General features: G+C 41.8%; 1 protein-coding gene across 11 annotated transcripts in view, besides 1 other annotated feature; it reads right to left on the bottom strand.

The window, feature by feature from the left end:
• Nucleotides 1–20,990, bottom strand: part of ANXA4 (annexin A4) — a 183,305-nt gene that overhangs the window by 55,595 nt on the left and 106,720 nt on the right. For 2 of the 11 annotated variants that reach the window (XM_047444081.1, NM_001365496.2), the window contains one exon: nucleotides 8,442–8,484. The exons of 8 other annotated variants lie outside the window; for them this stretch is intronic. The gene's annotated coding sequence lies outside the window, so the exon portion shown is untranslated. Of the gene's footprint in view, nucleotides 1–8,441; nucleotides 8,485–17,872; nucleotides 17,984–20,990 lie in introns of all 11 variants that reach the window. One more of the 11 variants, XM_047444082.1, reaches the window with a different exon arrangement.
• Nucleotides 8,826–8,885: an enhancer, noted in NCBI's record as "active region_15977". NCBI's record gives its function as "activates an Ori minimal core promoter by ATAC-STARR-seq in GM12878 lymphoblastoid cells {active_cell/tissue: GM12878}" and the evidence as "EXISTENCE:reporter gene assay evidence [ECO:0000049][PMID:35858748]".

Below are 20,990 nucleotides of genomic sequence, written 5' to 3'. Positions count from 1 at the left end.
CATTAGACTAGTAAAATCAGCAAACACCCATCAAAACAAAGATATGCAAACTCATTTTAATGGGAAAGAACGGCTCCTGGGTTGAAGCAGGCTTGCTGGAAGATATTAGCATGTTTAAGGAAAACTTGTGTCCATCAGCAGAGCAAGCTCCATGCAAAACTGGCACAGATGCTTACTTTGAAATATTCATCTAAGCCCTGTCCTACGGAAAGGGTGAAGCCAGTGGTCGGGGGTCAGATATTTCCCCACTGTGAAGATGAATTCTGTCCATCTAATACTCCCTTGTTCCATGGTTGCCAAGCACCTTTTAGGCTAGAGTTTGGCTTCCCAAATCAACCTGTCTACAAATATTGGAGCATGAGGATTTTTGCCTAAATAATATTTTTCCTTTCTTTTTTTTTTTTTTTTCTTTTTTTTTTTTTTGGAGACAGGGTCTTGCCCTGTTGCCCAGGCTGGAGTGCAGTGGTACAGTCATAGCTCACTTCAGCCTCGAACTACTTAGCTCAAGAGATCCTGCCGCCTCAGCCTCCCGAGTAGCTGGAACTACAGGTACGTGCCACCACGCCCAGCTAATTTTTTTTTTTTTTAAATTTTCTAGACAAGGCCTCGCTGCATTGCCTAGGCTGGCCTTGAATGCCTAGGCTCAAGCGATCGTCTGCCTCACCCTCCCAACGTGCTGGGATTACAGGTGTGAACCACCATGCCTGGCACTGTATTTCTTAATATAAATAAATTAGCAATATGTGTGTGTCTGCACGTGTGTGTGTCTGCACGTGTGTGTTTGCATGTGTGTGTGCGTACAGGTTTAATGAGCCTGGTGAATAGGAATCCTCCCTTTCTTGTCGTGCTGAGAGAGAGTTTCTCTGGGTCTGCTGGATGTTGCATTGTGGTGAATTCACCCCGGTAACTGAAGCTCTCCTTCAGACCCCACCACAACTTGGCGGCCTCCATTCAGGTTCCTAACATTGACCCACATCCCAGAACAGGCCACCTGAGCCTATTATGAAGGGACCTGCCAGCCTTGTGGCACATTCCTACTGAATCCTTCCCTTCGCTGGAAGATCACATGTGAGTGAGTCATTCACTATTTTTCTTTGGTACATGGTTTCATTTTACAGCCCACAAGGATGACAAATTTAAACCACTGGTCTGCAGATTGCAAAGGGTGTGACTGGGCCCCACCCAAACACTAAAGGCTTTCAAAACTGTCTATGAAATAGGAAAATGAGAGTAACTCTCTTTTTTTCCTTCTTTTTTTCTTGGAACTTAGATCCTTCTAAAAGTAAAGGAAGTTTTATTGCAGTGACGGGGTTTGAGTTGGGAGAAATAACATTTTAAACGTGTATTCAAAGGCAAGATGTAGAAGGTAAAGGAATGAAAACAAATTTGGAGGCCTGCCTACTAGGCCATCTTAAATAAGAATCGATTCCAGCCTAGCACCCAGCTAGTAACTTACGGACGGTCTTTTGTCCATATTTTGGCCAGTTATTCACAGCACTGTTGAGGGCAATAATAATCCTTTCAATCCACAAGTAATTAAAAAACATGTATCTTAGGCCTGGTGCAGTGGCTCACACCTGTAAACCCAGCACTTTGGGAGGCTGAGGTGGGCAGATCACCTGAGGTCAGGAGTTTGAGACCAGCCTGGCCAACATGAGGAAACCCCATCTCTACTAAAAATACAAAAATTAGCTGGGTGTGGTGGCACGTGCCTGTAATCCCAGCTACCCGGGAGTCTGAGGCAGGAGAATCGCTGGAACCTGGAGGCAGAGGCTGCAGTGAGCCGAGATCACGCCACTGCACTCCAGCCTGGGTGACAGAGGGAGACTCCGTCTCAAAAAAATAAAAAAATGTATTTTACATATAATTTAAAACATCCCACGCCTTCTCTGCTCTTCCCACATCATGCCAAAGCCAGTTTTTACTCCAATGATTGCTTTGTCTAAAAGGCAGGGGAAGGAGGGAGGGAACACTTATTAAACACTCCTCCATGTTATCTTATCTACTCAATAACCTCTGGGACAATGACTATTATTTCCACTTAACAAGTTAAAAACTGAGAAAAGTTGTGTAATTTGCCTGAAGTTAGCATGAGGCCAGACTGGGATAAAACACCTAGTTTACCTGATTTGAAAGCCACTAGATACTACAGTAGTGAAAACTGGTTGTGGTGAGTTCTATCTTGTCTTAAGAGGTAGGGCTAAATATCTACATTTTATAACAATAAGGAAAGTCACAGTGGCCTCAATGATTGCTGGGAAAGCTGACTGGGTCCCACATGTTGATAGTTTAATCCTTGCTTTGTTGTATGGCCTTAGTTCCCAGGCTCAAGCTTCGAATAGTGCATAAATCAAAGAATATTCTAATACGCTTTATAAATGTGCAGCTTCCCTACCTTGTTTTTCTGGGCACCATCATCAACTTGCTTCAGATATAATGAAGTACCCAATATAGTGCTTTAGACTTTCCTAAGTAATTTTCTTTTTAATTTTTATTTTCTGAGTGACCCCTAGTGCCACCTGTGGACTAGAGACCTTTGGAATTTCAGTTGGCTGGTTTTTTGTTGGTGGAGGTTTTTTTTTGTTTTTTGTTTTTTAACTTTTCTTTTGAGATGGGGTCTCACTATGTTGCTCAGGCTGGGCCTGAACTCTTGGGCTCAAGTGGTCAGCCTGCCTCCACCTCCCAAAGTGCTGGGATTACAGGCATGAGCCACTGCACCTGACCTTCTGCCTTTTAATTGCAGACAAATTATTTGGATTTCCCTCCCCTCAGTCCAGTGACCTGAGAAACAAGAAGCTGATGTGGTAGTAATGCTGATTATTTCTATCATGGGACTTACAGGACAGTTTTACTGATGTTTCATGTTCATTCACCTACTCATTCAACACACATTATCTGAATGCCTGCCCCATGTCAGGTACCATTTGATTTACTAAACGGCACACTTTCCTTTCCGCCTGTATACCTTTCATGACAGTATATGATCCCCTATGCCTTGTAGGTTTAAGAGTAACCTGCCATTTAAAAAAATCCTGGAAGCTACAGAGATGACGTGGTTGAACTTCCTGCTGTAAAGACTTTACGACCTTTCTCAATGGTCCTCTCCCAGCTTCCAGTCATCCTCTCTCTGGCCCTGCGCTCACTCCTCCACAGGTAGGCTTTGCCACTGCTAAGCAGCTGTAACCATCAGGAGAGCTGGCCTTGTATTCCTTATTCCATCCTCTAGAGCCAGAGGGACTTTATTTTAAAATAAGTAGTTATTGAGCTAGTTGTACTGAATGCTTATGTGTTTTGTCACTATTATATCATTTTGCCCTATTATTTTCCAGTGGACTGGACATGATAATTTAAGTTTTAGAGAAGTTAAGCATAGTACCCCAGGTCACTCAGTAATAGGTGATAAGAGCTATGTTTTCATAGGTCTGCCTGTCTTTAGAGACCTTTATATTATACCATGCTGAATACATGCTATAATATATACTCGCATATACTATATAGTATGTGTATACGTGTATAATTATATGAATATTATATATGTGTACATATGTATATATTTACATAATATGCATAATATATACAAAGTGTATATATATAAAGAGTATGTACATATGCGTATAATTAGGTGAAAAGGCAGATGACAATTCTAGAGGCTTTTAGAATCATGACAGAATAAAAACTTTAAATTGTTACATTTCTTGCTGAGCTAAAACTTTCTCGTTCTTCATATCTTTTAACAAGCTGGATGCAAAAAACAAAACAACAACAAAAACCGTCCTCTTCCAGACTTATCTGATGGAAACTGGACCACACTTTTGACGGGCAGACAGATGGCCCCGGTCAAACATGTTTAGTACAAGGCTGGTGGCCATTTCAAGAAAGCAGCGCATTTCTAATCCCCACACGCTCTAATTCAGCCATACGGCCTTTCTGGTGGGAGAACAACGTGGCATGGCTCTGTAATATGTCTCTTTGGGCAGACACATGGTCAGAGTTTTGCCATCTCCAGCTAAAAGGGACATAAAGATTCCACCCAAGCACATTCTGTGGCCCTCCCTTAAAACAGGGCCCAGCATCCTGTGTTTAGGTTGGGAGGTCATGGCTGATCCAACCACAATAGCAAAGTTCCCAAAGTACAGCCTGCTTCAGAGACTACTGATGCATCATGACTTCGGGGTATCTGAATCCAGTGTCGAAACAGGTTAGATATAATGACCCCATCTGGTTATGTTTATTTTAGCACCAGCAATATTAAGACTATCCAGTATATACCAGTAGAGAAAGGAATGCCAAAAATAGCTCTTCTAGCTTTTGCTACAAACTGAAAACATTATGGGCTTTCATTCAAAGCCTCAGATGGAGTTGGCACAGCTGCAACATGTTTTTTCCAGCCCTGGATGGCAGTTGCTTATGCTTTTGGAGGCAGCGCCCCTCCAGGCTTAAAGGCACAACCCTTCTTTTGATCACTCAAGGTTGATTTTCCCTGTTTCAGATCAAAATGTGAAGTAAACCATACATGAGAGAGTAATTCTAAGGCTACAATATAAGCATGCAAAGAAAATGGGAGTAGAAATAGAGGGGAAATTCTTGCCCCCCAGAAAGAGTGCATTTCTCCCAGATTGGATTGTTAGGGTAGAAAAGACTTTAGAGCGCATCAGACCCACCCCTCCACTTTATAGCTAGGAAACAGGCCTATCTACAGGCGAGTGATGGGTTTGCCTTCTGGGCAGTGTGCTTGGTAATAACATGTTAGGTTCTGTCAGCTGACCCAAGGTCTGGAAGGTGCTGGCACTGTGGGCAACACAAGCTCACCCTAGGATGGGTGATCTATGCCACCCTTCTGATGAGAAAAAAAGGAAAAGTACAGGTCTAACTATGGTGCAGCCAACTTCCTGGCCTAGTTGCTAATTTCACATCATGGGCCATTCAGATAAACGGAAACTTCTCCTTCAATGACCACCCCATCCTTCCTCTATAACAAAGTGGTTGGAGCCCTGGAGCACAACCACCTGGGTTTATAATCCTCCTAAAGGTACTTTCTAACTGGGTGATTTGGGCCAAGGTATAATCTCTTGTGCCTCAGTTTCCTCATGGGTAACAAAGAGTTAATAACAATAGTTCCTTTATAAGACAACTGCAAAAATTAATCAAGTTATTACATCACGTAAGTACTTAGAATGGTGCAGACATTGTGTACTCAACAGATGTTAGCTATTCTTCTATTACTGTTCTCTCCAAGTAATCTTTATCACATCTACAGTATTCTAGCATTACCTGTTTAGTGAGCTGTTTAAGGTGGGGTTACCAAATCTACCCACATGAAAAACATCTGTGGCGTATAGAGTTCAGGCTTTCACATTTACCAACAAGTCAAACTAGATTCCTTTGTGGTTCTTTTGGTCACCAAGTCCGTAAGGTCCTCTGTGTGTGTCTGTCCTCTGACAAAAGCATTATCCAGTTGTATGAATTCTAAGGCAGCATCTTCCCTCTCCAAATTCTCATCCTGGGCCTCTACTTTCCTGTTTCTAAATTTTAGCAGTGCCTTGCACATAGCGGGCCTGCAAGAAATGCCTGCTGATTAATTGAACTGGCTGCCCCCGAAGCCATAGGACTGGCATTAATTGCTATGGCTCTTTGGGCTTCCTGAAGGCCTCATTGCTAGGAAGGGCCCTCTCCTGCTTCCTCAGCCCCCCTCTCCTCCTCTCACTTTCTTTCTGAGACCCATGGTATTCTCTAACCAACCATTAGCATAGTATCGAACTCCAGTCACACTGCGGTTTATTTTCCATCCACAATTGATTTTAGACTAGGGTTTTAGATAAGCCTCAAAAGCATTATTCTGGCTAAATGAAGCCAAACAAAGTATTTACATGAAACGCTAGAACGAACAAAGCTAATATATAGTGCTAGAAAGTGCAAAAGTGGTTGTCTGGGGCCAGTGATTGGGGGCACTGGTGAGGCAGAAGGGATACTAACTGTAGAGGAGCATGAGGCAACATCAAGGGGTGATGAAAATGTTCTTTACCTTGATTGGGGTAGTGTACCCGGATATATACATCTGCCAACACTCACTGAACTCCACTCATACCCATTAGAATGGCTACTATTCAAAACAGAACAACAGAAAACAACAAATGTTGGTGAAGATATGGAGAAACTTGAACCCTTCTACACTGCTGGTAAGAAAGTAAAATGGTACAGCCACCGTAAAAACAGTATGGTGGTTCCTCAACAAATTAAAAATAGAATTACCATATGGTCCAACAATTCCACTTCTAGGTATACATATACCCAAAAGAACAGGAAGCAGGAACTCGAAGAAATGTTTGCACATCCATGTTCACAGCAGCATTACTCACAATAGCCAAAAGTGGAAGCAAAACAAGTGTCCCTCAACAGATAAATGGATAAACACAATGTGGTGTGTGTGTGTGTGTGTGTGTGTATACACATATATACAGTGGAATATATACAGTGGAATATTATTCAACCTTACAGAGGAAGGAAATTCTGCCACATGCTATAACACTGATGAACCTAAGGACACTAAGCTAAGTGAAATAAGCCAGTCACAAAAGGATGAATACTACATGAATCCACTTATATGTACTCAAAGTAGTCAAATTCATAGAGACAGAAAGCAGAATGATAATGCTGGAGGAAAGGGAAGAGGGAGTTACAGCTAAATAGTACAGAGTTTCAGTTTTACAAGATGAAAAGAGTTCTGTGAATGGATGGTGGTGATGGTTGCAAAACAATGTGAATATACTTAATGTCACTGAACTGTTACATTTAAGAATGTTTAAGATGGTAAAATTTCATGTGTATTTATTTCACCACAATTTTTAAAAGTTGATTTTAAATGTTAACTCCTTAAAAGAAACGATGGCTCATCAAACTAACCACTTAAGATGGGTGCATTTTATGGTGGTATAAAACCTAAGTAAGAGGTCAAGTTCTCAACCTAAGTAAGAGGCTCACAGTGGCCTCTCAGGGAAGCACGCTGCTGTTATCCATCACTTAGCAACGCCCACTCTAAGGCAAAGTCCAAACCAGTGGAATCCATGTGGCTTTTGCACAGCATCATGAGTAAAATCCTCTCCTCAAGTATAACTGTTATTTAAAGAGAAAATGTGTCAAGCATGGTTAGGGTTATATCATGTTTCCTGATCTGTTCTCAGAGTTATTTTAGAATCAAAGTCCCTCGAGGAAACATGAAAGATCGCTTAATTTCATGTTCATCTTTCAGAAACACCATTGGTAAACTATTACAGGTGAGTGTGAAACTAATACAGAAATCCCAACAGGTTGATCACACAGGAACCCCAAGACGTTCATCACAAACTATTGGCATTGATCTCCAGTTCTTGTCTGTTCTATCACCAGGGATTCTCATCTGCACTTAGGCCCCTTCAGTCTCTTCTTATGGGTTACAAACTACAGGCCTCCATTTCCCAAGACCAAATTCCAAGGTTGGCCAGTAACGATGGTATCTTTTGTTGTCTTAGCAATCATAAGTCTTAGAGATAAAAGAAGAGGACCACGTCAGAAAAAAACTAAGGTCAGGTGCGGTGGCTCACGTCTGTAATCCCAGCACTTTGGGAGGCCGAGGAGGGCAGATCACAAGGTCAGGAGTTTGAGACCAGCCTGACCAACATGGCGAAACCCCATCTCCACTAAAAATATAAAAATTAGCCAGGCGTGGTGGCGCACGCCTGTAATCCCAGCTACTCAGGAGGCTGAGACAGGAGAATTGCTTGAACCCAGGAGGCGGAGGTTGCAGTGAGACGAGATCACGCCACTGCACTCCAGCCTGGGCAACAGAGCGAGACTCTATCTCAAAAAAAAAAAAAAAAAAGTATTATGTCCTGTGGTCACTGAAGTATTTAAAAATTAAAAATAATATCAGTTTGTCATTTAAAAAAAGAAAATGAATAAATTAAAGTACAGGAGGGAAGGGATTTGCAGTGAGTCAGTGATAAAGCTAGACCATTTTCCTTGTTGGGTTCTATTTGCCTGGAATATAGGCATTATGCAGCCCAGAACTTTCCTTCTGGCTCTAAAAACACAACATCACCACCTCTATTTGCCCACGTGGGGAAAAAACAAAAAGCCCTCTCTTTCCAGATGAACCAGAAAAGCAGCTTTGTTTCCTACACAGATTTCAACTGGCTCCACCTCGGAGATCTGGAACTGAGCAGAGAGTAAGCACTGCTCTCTTCAAAGTCTCACTTTGTTCTGGGGCCTCCCGCGCCCCGAAGTCATCAAGTTCCAGCTCTGTGGGCAACTCCTCCTCCCCTTGGATCAGCCATTCCCTCTCTGGGCCAGGGCAGGGTTCTGTCCCCACATCTTTCCAAAATTCAAGCTGATTCCGGCAGAAGAGCACAAAAACAGAACTGTAAAATTCTTCCACAGTGGATTTCTGATTCACGTGAGGAACTTACTATTTCTGATGCAGCAGCCGCTCCCAGTTTCTCATTCAAGATTCTCGTGAAGGCACAGGGAAGAAAAGGGAGAAACTCATGACACAATGGAAAAGACTAGGATGGTCATGAGATAATGTTAGAAGCTGAGAGGAAGTGAAACGGACTTACGGCAGATGGAGCTGGATGAAGAGTATGTGAGTGTGAGTGAGTATGAGTGTGTGTGAGTGTGTGAGTGAGTGTGTGTGTTTATGAGACAATAGGGAGATGGGGTCTGCCTCTCTAGCAGCTCTGTCTGATGTGGGGATCTATTCAGAACACCCTACCCTGAGGTGAGGAGCTGTGAGGTAGGCCCATAGCTGGCCCTCCTCATCCAAAGCAGGCCGAGAGGTGTTGGGGCGCGAATCATGGTGGCAGAGTAGATTCAAGGAGGCATGATCAGTGAGAAGCACCCTAGCAGAAATCCATGCTAGGAGTTATATTTTTAATATACATAAATACATACTTATTTATTTATTTTTGCCCAGAGAACCAGGCATTTGTGACAGAAAAAGAAGCAGAGAAGAACAAAGGGAAAACCAGCTAGCAACTGGGAATTAGACCAGGCCCATTACAATCCCTCCTCTGCTGTAAAGCTGATGCTAACACAGAAAGGTGCACGTGGTGGCACTAAAGTGTTCTGTTCACTATGTCTTTTTTTTTTTTTTTCCCCTAGACGGGGTCTCACTCTGTCACCCAGGCTAGAGTGCAGTGGCACTATCATAGCTCAGTGCAGCCTCCAGCTTTTAGGGTCCAGTGATTCTCCACCTCAGCCTCCCAAGTAGCTGTTGCTACAGGCATGAGCCACCTCGCCTGGCTCCTCACCCTGTCTTTTGACAGACTGTCTCTATACCCCAATATGGTGCCACCAGCTGCATGTTTCTGAGCAACTGAAAGTGGCTAGAGAGACTGAGAAACTAAATTTTAAATTTTGTTTCATTTTAATTATATTTAAATTTTGAAATTGATGCAGTATGAAATATTTCCCCATTACACACAGCTTTATTGCTCTGGTAGGGCTACATTGTTCAACCATTGTATGTGTAGGGCACATGTCAAGCATGTGGCATCTTTTCTAGTATTACACGTAATCACTAATCTAGTTGGTGCCAACAGATTTATTCACTTTGATATTTTTCTAGGCACTGATGCAATATTTTAATGTATTTATTTGAAGAAGTTTTACAGACAGCACAAGTTTGAGTTATTTTAACATAATTAAATTATTTTCTAGTTAAAAAGTAGCTATGGACACATTTTAAGTTTTTTTTTTTTTTTTTTTAAGACAGCATCTTGCTCTGTCACAGACGGGGTCTCACCATGTTGTCCAGGCTGGTCTTGAACTCCTGGGCTCAAGCGATCCTACCACCTCAGACTCCCAAAGTGCTGGGATTACAGGCGTGAGCCACTGCACCCAGCTACGTTTTAAGATTTAAAACAAAGGCACGTTACTGATGTACAATTGAGTGGAGTAGCAGAAGCATCACGGCTGGCACAGTAAAGAACAAGAGATGGAATTGACAAGAGAGTTCGTGAATTAACTTGGAAAGATGCAGTTTTAAAAGCGAGAGCCTTTTCACTTCGAAGTGAAATTCTTTTAAAAAACATGAATCAGTTTTTTCCATGTGGATGCAAATATTAAAGGAAAATTATTTTAGGTACTTGATTTAGTTATTGGAAAAATTTTTGAAGTATGTTTGAAATAATTTGAGCATGTAAATTGATGTGAAAACTGAACATTTCATGAAATCTAAATACAGACATTTGATGAAAAATTTGCATTCAGATTTGGATGTGCTATCAGTTTAAAATACACATCAGACTGCTACAACACAGCACGAAAAGAAGCCTATAAAATATCTCATTAATAATGTTTATATTGATTACATGTTGAAATGATATTACTTTGGGTATATTGGGTAAAATATATCTATATTATTAAGTTAATTTTGCCTGTTTCTTTACTTTTTTGAATGTAATTACTAGACAATTCAAACTTGCATTTGTGGCTTACTTTATATTTATTTATTTTTTAATTAATTAATTAATTAATTAATTTAATAGAGACGAGGTGTCACTATGTTGCCCAGGCTGACCTTGAACTCCTGAGCTCAAGCTATCCTCCCACCTTGGCCTCCCAAAGTGGTTCACCAGTGTGAGCCACCACACTCAGCCTCACTTTGTATTTCTACTGCATAGCAAACTCTACACATATTTTATCTTATTTGATAATAATTGTTATAGCTAATGTTGATTGAACATTTATTATGGCCAGATACTGTTCTGAACACTTTACATGAATGGTCAGACTATCTCTTTAAATCACGCACACAAAAACTTGTTTATTTATCTTCTCAGTGCCTTCATTTCCCCATTTGCTAAAAAAGAAAAAGAAAAACATAATATGCACCTATGTCAAAATGCTAGAAAACAAGGGAAAAAAACAAAGCCCCAGAATACTTAAAAGAAGAGTCTATCTCTGAAAATAATCCACTTAATTATTCAGAAGAAACACTTAGGAAACTATTAGGTATCCTCAGTGTTTGGCAGAAAAACATAGCATTCTAAACAGGGAAGAAGACTGGCTGGCAATAAAACATCAATAAATCCTTTGAGACTACAGATTTTGGCTTAAATATTCCATACTCATCACATCAAGGGCAAGATTCATTTTCTATGACCATCCTTCTCCTCCCTCTCTCTATTTAATCAAGTGTCAAGAGATTTTAGATTTTTAAACCATATGTGTATTCAAAAACGACTTACCAACTCATATTTAAATATCACTCTTTTCACTACTGTTTGGTTTCAATGAAATTGTTTTTTCATAAAAATGGAATCCTTCCTAAAAGAAATGAAGACTAACTGCAGAGGTCATAGAAAATGTAATACTAATACCTCAAAAAATCACAAAAAAAGATAAAACAGGCCGGGCGTGGTGGCTCATGCATGTAATCCCAGCACTTTGGGAGGCCGAGGCGGGTGGATCACGAGGTCAGGAGATAGAGACCATCCTGGCTAACACGGTGAAACCCCGTCTCTACTAACAATACGAAAAATTAGCCGGGCATGGTGGCGGGCACCTGTAGTCCCAGCTACTCGGGAGGCTGAGGCAGGAGAATGGCGTGAACCCAGGAGGTGGAGCTTGCAGTGAGCCAAGATCACACCACTGCACTCCAGCCTGGGCGATAGAGCCAGACTCCGTCTCAAAAAAAAGATAAAACAAAATACTAATTGTCTTTTTAATATTAATCTTTATTTAATTTTAAATTTTAAAGATAATATATGTACACGCCAAAAAATTATTTTTTGGTTTTGTTTTAGCAGCCTCAGGATCTTATGGCAGTAACAATGAAGTATGCATCCTGGACAGTCAGTGCTGGTTTTATTTATCACTATTAACCTCTCCTTCCCTCTAGCTGTTATTATTATTGTTATTATTAAAGTAAACTGTGTGATCTGATAAACTTGTTTTCCAAACCCTGCAGAATCTAGGTAGAGGTAGAATTTTTCACTGCAGTGTTGAAAATAATGAATCTTTCCACGCTTACAAATACAAATGATTAACTTTCATAGAATTTTAGAGACTGGAAAGCCTTTAGCAATCATCTATTTCACCCTTTCATTTTATTTTGTAGATTATTAAATCAACTTTAAACACTGTAAAGGACATTTTTTAAAGTAATGTAAACTTACCATCTACTTTCTGTTTATTCCAGTGTTTCAGCACAGTTGTAATCACAGTATGTATATAATTTTGTGTTCTACTCTTCTACTTAATTTTCTATATTTTATACAATCACCATATTTATTATTTTACTATTTTACTATAGTCATCCATCAAACTGATATAATTTACTCAATGTCCCTACTATTGGTTGTTCAGATTTTCTATCTCAGAATTATAATCTTTTTTTTTTTTTTTTTTTGAGACAGAGTCTCTCTCTGTCGCTGGAGTGCAGTGGTGCTATCTTGGCTCACTGAAACCTCCGCCTCCCGTGTTCAAGGGATTCTCTTGCCCCAGCCTCCTGAGTAGCTGGGATTACAGGCATGCGTCACCATACCCAACTAATTTTTAGAACACTTTTAGTAGAAATGGGGTTTCACCATGTTGCCAAGACGGGTCTTGAACTACTGACTTCAGGTGATCTGCGAGGCTCAGCCTCCCAAAGTGCTGGGATTACAGGCATGAGCCACTGTGCCTGGCCTATAATCTTTACAATTAGCCTTGTAGATACTTACTTCTGTTGGCTTATTCCTTGTGATATCTGATAATTATGAACATTTCTAGTTGTCCTCAAAATTTATAAGGATATCCAAAGCCCAACCACCCATAAGTTAGCTTGCTTGCTCAATTTATTTATTCTTAATTTAATATTTAGGCGTAAAATTGAACCTTATTATTATTAACTTGCCTTATCATTTTTATTTTTTTAAGAAACAGGGTCTCACTCTGTCACCCAAGCTGGAGTGCAGTAGCACAGTCATAGCTCACTGCAGCCTGGAACTTCTGGGCTCAAACAATCCTCCCATCTCAGCCTGTTGAGTAGCTGGGACTACAGGCATGTGCCACCACTTCCGGCTAATTTTCAAAATTTTTTTGCAGAGGTAGAGTCTCCCTATGTTGCCCAGCAGGCTGGTCTCAAGCTTCTGGCCTCAACCAATCTTCCTGCCTCAGCCTCCCAAAGTGCTGGGCTTATAGGCGTAAGCCTCTGTGCTTGGTCTCCTTTTAACCTTAGTAGTAGGGGTCAGGTACGGTAGCTCACGCCTGTAGTCGCAGCGCTTTGGGAAGCCAAGATGGGCAGATCACTTGAGGCCAGGAGTTCAAGACCAGCCTGGCGAACATGGTGAAACCCTGTCTCTACAAAAAACACAAAAATTACCTGGGCATGGTGGTGCACGCCTGTAATCCCAGCTATGCCGGATGCTGAGGCACAAGAATTGCTTGAACCCAGGAGGCAGAGGTTGCAAATATTTGTTTTCATGTTTACTACACTGGGATAGAGATGAAAAAGAGTAAGACACAATATTGGGTATACTCTCCTGTACTGCAGGTGGGGAGTATAAATTGGACAGTACTTTTTTTTTTTTTTTTTTTTTGAGACAAAGTCTCATTCAGCCGCCCAGGCTGGAGTGCAGTGGCACGATCTTGGCTCACTGCAACCTCCATCCCCTGGGTTCAAGCGATTCTCCTGCCTCAGCCTCCCAAGTAGCTGGGACTATAGGCACACACCACTATGCCCAGCTAATTTTTGTATTTTTATTAATAGAGACCGATTTCACCATGTTGCCCAGGATGGTCTCAATCTCTCGACCTCGTGATCCACCCACCTTGGCCTCCCAAAGTGCTGGGATTACAGGCGTGAGCCACCCCACCCGGCCCTGGACAGTACTTTTGGAGGGCAATTTGGCCATTAGTAAATTGTATGCACCACGCAACAAGAATTCTACTTCTTGGGATTTATCTTTTAAAATATAACAGAAAAGGCTGGGCATGGTGGCTCACACCTGTAACCCCAGAACTTTGGGAGGCCGAGGCAGGCGGATGACGAGGTCAGGAGATCGAGACCATCTTGGCTAACATGGTGAAACCCTGTCTCTACTAAAAAAAAAAAAAACAAAAAATTAGGCGTGGTGATAGGTGCCTGTAGTCCCAGCTACTAGGGAGGCTGGGGCAGGAGAATGGCATCAACCCGGGAGGCAGAGCTTGCAGTGAGCCGAGATCATGCGACTGCACTCCAGCCTGGGCAACACAGCGAGACTCCACCTAAAAAAAAAAAAAAAAAAAAAAATATATATATATATATATATATATATATAAAACAAAAATGGCTGGGCACGGTGGCTCACACCTGTAATCCCAGCATTTTGGGAGGCTGAGGCGGGCAGATCACCTGAGGTTAGGAGTTCAAGATTAGCCTGGCTAACATGGTGAAACCCCGTCTCTACTGAAAATACAAAAAAATTAGCCGGGCATGGTGGCACGTGCCTGTAGTCTCAGCTAGTCGGAAAGCTGAGGCAGAAGAATTGCTTGAAATTAGGAGGTGGAGGTTGTAGTGAGCCGAGATGGTCCACTGCACGCCAGCCTGGGGAACAGAGTGAGACTCTGTCTAAAAAAAAAAAATAATAATTAATTAATTAATTTAATAAGTAGTAGGAACACTGAATCTTTCTTTTTTTAAAACTTGTATTCTTTGTGAATTATTGGTGTGTATTTTTTGCCCATTTTTAGGATCTTGGTGCTTTACTGACATATACATTATGCATATATTATAAATTTTAATATTTTATACCAAAAATTAATTCTAAGTATGTTTCCAATTTAATATTCTTCTTTTAGTTTTGTATAGTCAAAATTTGGAAGAAAAAATTTAAATTATACCTGTCCATCTTTTCCTTTGTATTCCTCATTATAATATTTCAATAGTTAGAAAAGTCTGGTTCATTTTGCTATTCTCTCACTTGGGTGTATATTGGAAAATGTTCATAATAAAAGCTTTTTTTAAAGCTAGTCAAGGGAAACAGTACAAGTAGAGAAGGAACAAAGAAATCTCTGTAACTGGCTGTGATCAGTAATAAAAACTTTTTTTAAAAAGTATCTCTTTCTCATTGCTAGAAAAATGATCTTACTTTATTTCTACTAGTTTTTCTCCCACCCCTTTCATTTTACAGTTGAGGAAAGGCACCCATGAGGTTAAAAAGTAACTAGCTGACTATGTGACTCATCTTCCCCTGCTACTAAACTCAGCCACCACCCTTTTTTTTTAGGCACAGCAAAAACGCCCCAAGGCAGGGCTATTTGGAAAGGGTTAGGATTCAATTAAAGAAAGCTGGGCTGGTAGCTTCCAAGTGACTGGTGTTTTATTCCTACAAACTTACACCAACCCTAACCCACAAGGTAAGGCCAGGGATATGCTGATAAAGCTAATAGCCAGCTCTCCAAGGAAAGGACACCCTGATGTGTAGCCACTTTTTTGGTGTAAATCTTTGCACCCTGACCAATTTCAAGTTACTAATGTGATGTCACTCAACTTGGAGTTGGGAGTAGATGGTCAGTAGCACCCCATTACACATTAATACTAGTTTCACCACACAGATATAATAGACATAAATACCCTCGAGAGCATAGATAATGGTAAAAGGTAGGAAAAAGAATTAGGAAATGATGAATTGTTTTAAATACAAATTACTTATAAATATTCATATTTCAATATAACTTATTTACTCATTAGTTCATATAATTTAATTTTAAATCACGGCTGGCTATTTTTAACAATCAGCTTGCAAAACCTCTAAAAATTTAACAACTAGCTCTCAGGGGCTGATACAAGGACAATTCAGCACATCACTGGGAGATAGAAGAATAACAAAAGCAAGATTTATTTTTTCAATCATGGTAACATATATATAGCAAAATTTACCATTTTAACCATTAAAAAAATTTTTTTGAGGTAGGGTCTCACCATGTTGCCCAGGCTGGAGTGCAGTGGTGTGATCTCAGCTCACTGCAGCCTTGACCTCCCTGGCTCAAGCTATCCTACTATTTCAGCCTCCCAAGTAGCTGGGACTACAGGTGCAGGCCACCATGCGTGGCTAATTTTTGTAGGGACAGGGTTTCACCATGTTGTCCAGGCTAGTCTTCAACTCCTGACCTCAAGTGATCTGCCAGCCTCGGCCTCCCAAAGTGCTGGGATTACAGGCGTGAGCCACTGTTCCTGGCCTATTTTAACCATTTTAAAGTGTACAATTCAGTGGCATTAAGAACATTTACAATGTCTTGCAACAATCACCACCATCTATTCCTAGATCTCTTCTATCATTCCAAACAGAAACTCCGAACACGTGAAACAGTAACTCCCCATTTCCCCCTCACCTTAGCCCTTGGTAACCTCTATTCCACTATCTGTCTCTATGAGTTTGACTATTCTAGGTATTTTATATAAGTGGAATCACGTAACATTTATCCTTCTGTGTCTGGATTATTTCACTTAGCATGTTTTCAAGGTTTGTCCATGCTGTACCATCTAATAGAATTTCATTCCTTTTAAAGTGAAACCAAAATTTCAAGACCAACATTTAGAGCCACCTTCGTATACAGACAATGAACCAGGCCTGGAGGGAAGATACATAGACCTCACTCTACCTTCTCACTTCCAAAGAACAAGCCCAGCCTAGAGTCACCAAAATACAGAAGGCTAGGTGAATCCCTCTGTGCAAAACACAGCCAGAGGGGAAGGCCCCAGGACAGCCTTAGGAGGGAGCATAAAAGAACCTGGAAAGGATAGGATGTGTGTGGTACACATGATAAAATCCTATTATATCATCTTTTCAATAAACCCAGATCAGTATCATTTGTTCTAAAAGTGTGGTTTCCAGACCAACAGCATCACCATCACCTGGGACCTTGTTCAAAGTACAATTCTTAGGCCCAACCCTAGATCTACAGAATCCTAAACTCTGGGGATGGGATCCAGCAGTTTGGGTTTTAAGAAGCCTCCAGGCCATGCATGGTAGCTTGTGCCTGTAATCTCAGCTACTGGGAGGCTGAGGTGGGAGAATCCCTGAGTGCAGGAGTTTGAGGCCAGTCTGGGTAACATACCAAGACCCCCATCTCTAAAAAATAAAAATAAATAATCTTTGTAAAGTGCAAGAATCCCGCCAGGTGATTCTGATACATGCTGAGGTTTGAGAACCCTGGTTCTATAGTAATAATTCTAGACTCAAACTATTGATGTCTGAAAGGGTCCCCAAACCACACCATGGGCATTTCGTAAGTATAGATCGCCAATCATGACCTTACATCAAGTATGAGGAAATGGGAACGGGGATAAGTTATGTTAATGGGGGAAGTTATAACACTTTTAAAACACTTGCATAAACATGACTTAGGAAATACTGTGTTTGCCAAAGATTATTTAAACAGCAGAGTTCTCAAAACCATCCACTGCAAACATGCATTACTCCTGGTAGGCCAGATCTGATATTCCATGATATCTGTGAAACTTCAAATTAAATTCTCTTCCCACAGATGGATGCTGGCATAGGCTGTCATGAAGATCATTCAGGCTTAGAATCCAGAACAAGAACCAAGTTCCAGTCCCTGTTCTGCCCTCCAGATTTAACCCCACCTATGAGAGCTGGTTTATTTTGGCATAAAATTGGGATAGTAGCAGTTATTGCAATGCACAGACTTTTTTGCAAGAATCAGCAATAATGTCAACCTCCACTACACCTTCCTTCTTCCTTAGGAGAAACTTCTTTCTGTTTGGAGATTGGGTTTGGTAAACCAGGAAGGTGGGGCTAGCCCCAGGAGGAAATAATAAGTGGTCCAAGGCAACCCCCTTTGAACAGCCATGAATGGGTTAGGAGTGGCCATGTGACCCACTTCTGACCAAAAAGAAATAAGGACAAACCTGCTAAGACGCTTTGAAGTTCCTCCAGGCTAAAAAGACAGAGTCAGCCAGCCAAATTCCCCCTTTCTCCTGGCCCTGGATGTTGTCAGGACATGATGTCTGGAGCTACAGCTTCAAAAGGATTCTACTTAATATCGATTGTACAGCATCTGTCTAGCTTGTTACCTGAGGAAAGTTCTCAAATTCAAAAGTACACAAAAGTCACGTGGGGAGCAGTTAAAATATAGATTTTCGGTGAGGACCCTTGACTCTGGAAATCTTGGGTGGGCCCCAGAGACTTCATTTAATCAAGTTTAAATAAGCAACCCTGGCATTCTCCTCATAAGAATCAGCCCAGGCCCTGATTCTTATGCAAGTGGTTTTCAGACCCCAGTTCCAAAACTGCCACTCGCTATGTGTGCAGGCACTCATAGTCCTTACTTAAAATTTATTTTGCCCCTATCATATACTAGGCATGGCAAGAGAAAGATGGAGGAGACATGATCTTGCTCTCAAGAAGCACGTAATCTAAGAGAAATAGAACAGGTACATAACTAGTTTAAAGACAAAGCGGCATGTGAGAACTATTACGAATTGCAGGGTAGGGGAAGATGGACAACGTCCACCTAAGAAATTAAAAGAGCTCTCACGTGACTTAGGCTTTGAATAATAATGGGATTTCAATAGGGAAAGAATTTTCCAAGCAGAGTAAACAGTAAAAGCAAAGCTCCTGCTATGATTATGAACGTTAAGACTTATTTGGAAAAGACTAGTTAGCTTGGAGTTGAGTGGGAGTTTAAGGACACCATGAACGGAGCAAGAGCTACAGAAGTAATTTTCAAAACTGGATCATTTTTGTGGCAGGCCAGGCCTAGAGGGTGGACTAAATTTTCTAGGCCATGGGAAATTGTCCATTCATACTGCACACTTCTAGCAAGGGCCGAGTATGTGCTCAGCAGCACTGTGCTAGCCAGAGGGGGCTGCATCGTCCCTGCCCTCAGTGGAGCTCAAAGCTGAAGAGAGGAGGCAGGTATGTGATCAGATATAATAAGGTGTGAACATTCCCATTCCCATGCTGGGGAAATCACAGAAAGTGTCAGGAGTGTGTAGGAGAGGCCCCTGACCCAGATTATGTCAATCAGGGAAGGAGACCATGTCGAAGATGAATATTGGAGGTCTGGACAGGGTAAGCAGGGAAGCAAGGAGTCATGTTTCTCCAAGGCTAAATCTCTGCCTTGATTTCCTTCCTGGTACCCAGCACTTTCATTTTATCTGAAAACATTTATTACATAACTTTGCCAGGCACTGGAACAGATGCAAAGGGAAGTAGGGATTTATATTCCAGGCCAGCAGTTCCTTACATGGGATCCTTGGACCCTCTAGGACCTGTCCCTCAATACTCATCTGCCCTGTCTCCCATACACCTACAGAATGGACTTAGTTTCTAAGGAACCTCCATCTCCACCTCTGGGACTTGCCTGCTGTAACAGACATGCCATTCCTTCAGTGTGCTTTGGCTTAGCTTTCTCATCTCCACAACTGTGCATAAGCCCTTCTTCTCCAGCCCTGGCTCAATATAAACCTTCCTCCTCCAGGAAGCCTTCTGTGACCACTAATGATAGAGTTAGGTGCACCTCTTCTGTTACTCCATGGCAGTCTGCACATATATATCAAATTATTATACTGATCATACAGTCCTATGATTTTTTAATTATTGATTTACTTATCTCCCTGAGTCAGTGTGTTTCATTCTTGAATCTCTAGTGCCCGCCACTTACATATATAATAAATAAATGCACCTTTGCCCATTTGGCAGAGGCCACTGACCTCCTGCCTACCTCTTGAAGACCCTACGCCAAGGTTCTGAGCTGCCTCCCCTGCCTTTAGATGCTGCCCTAAGTCTTGATCCCAGAAGGATGGGCCACCAGAGTCATGATGCAGCACATGGTCCTGATTCAGCCTCTGCTCTCCACTCCTCACCTGGATCCCCTAGATACTCAGAATGACCTAAATCAATATCAAGTTCATCTTGGACAAGTGGTTTGGACTTAGGCTCTCCTCCTTCCCCTCTGAAAGAATTCATCCCCATAGCTTAATCTCCCAGCCCTGTCTTTTTCTGCTCATTTCCCCACTTTGTATTTTTTTTTTTTTTTTTTTTTGAGACAGGGTCTCACTCTGTCATCCAGGTTGGAGTTCAGTGGCACGATCTTGGCTCACTGCAACCTCTGCCTCCAAGGCCCAAGCGATTCTCCCACCTCAGCCTCTCCAGTAGCTGGGACTACAGGAGTGTGCCACCATGCCTGGCCAATTGTTTTATATCTTTGGTAGAGAAAGGGTTTCGCCCAGGCTGGTCTCGAACCCCTGAGCTCAGGCAATCCACCTGCTTAGCCTGGGATTACAAGCATGAGCCACTGCGGCTGGCCTGATTCCCCCACTTTTAACCTATTACACAGAGTGGTAAAGCATAGGATATAGAGTCATACTGACAAGTTCAAATCCTGGCTGTGAAGCTCGTCAGTGTGCAACTTTGAGCAAATTACTCAACCCCTTTGTGCCTCAGTTTCCTCATTTACATTGGCAATGATAATACTAGTACCCACCTAATATGGGTGAAAATTTAATAAAATATCATACCAGATGTCTGGCACAGGGTCAGGATCATAGAAGACACTTGGTGAACATTAGCTATCAACATCTCCAGCAGAGAGAGGCAGGTCCCTCACAGACTAAGACATAGTCTGGCTGAAGATAGGGGTCCAGGCTCCAAAGCCAAGGTCAGGCCCCTCAGTGCCCATGGCCATTGATATCACTGGGAGACATTTCTCTGACAAAGGCCCCTGCCCTAGCAGGTCTACCTAGTCTACAGGCCCTGATTTATCCCATCTACCTCCTCTCTCTGCTTCTGCAGCTAAAGACACACTGGAACCAATCAGACCATTTAAAAACAGAGCTAGGTCAGGCACCATGGCTCATGCTTGTCATCCCAGCACTTTGGGAGGCTGAAGCAGGCAGATGGCTTGACTCCAGGAGTTTGAAACCAGCCTGGGAAACGTGGTAAAACTCTGTCTCTACAAAAAATACAAAAAATTAGCTGGGTGTGGCAGCGCGTGCCTATAGTTCCAGCCACCTGGGAGGCTAA

This window comes from Homo sapiens, chromosome 2 (assembly GCF_000001405.40).
Source record: "Homo sapiens chromosome 2, GRCh38.p14 Primary Assembly".
Lineage (NCBI taxonomy): Eukaryota > Metazoa > Chordata > Mammalia > Primates > Hominidae > Homo > Homo sapiens.
The sequence above is the reverse complement of the archived record's forward strand: the minus strand, read 5'-3'. Positions and strand labels throughout refer to the sequence as shown.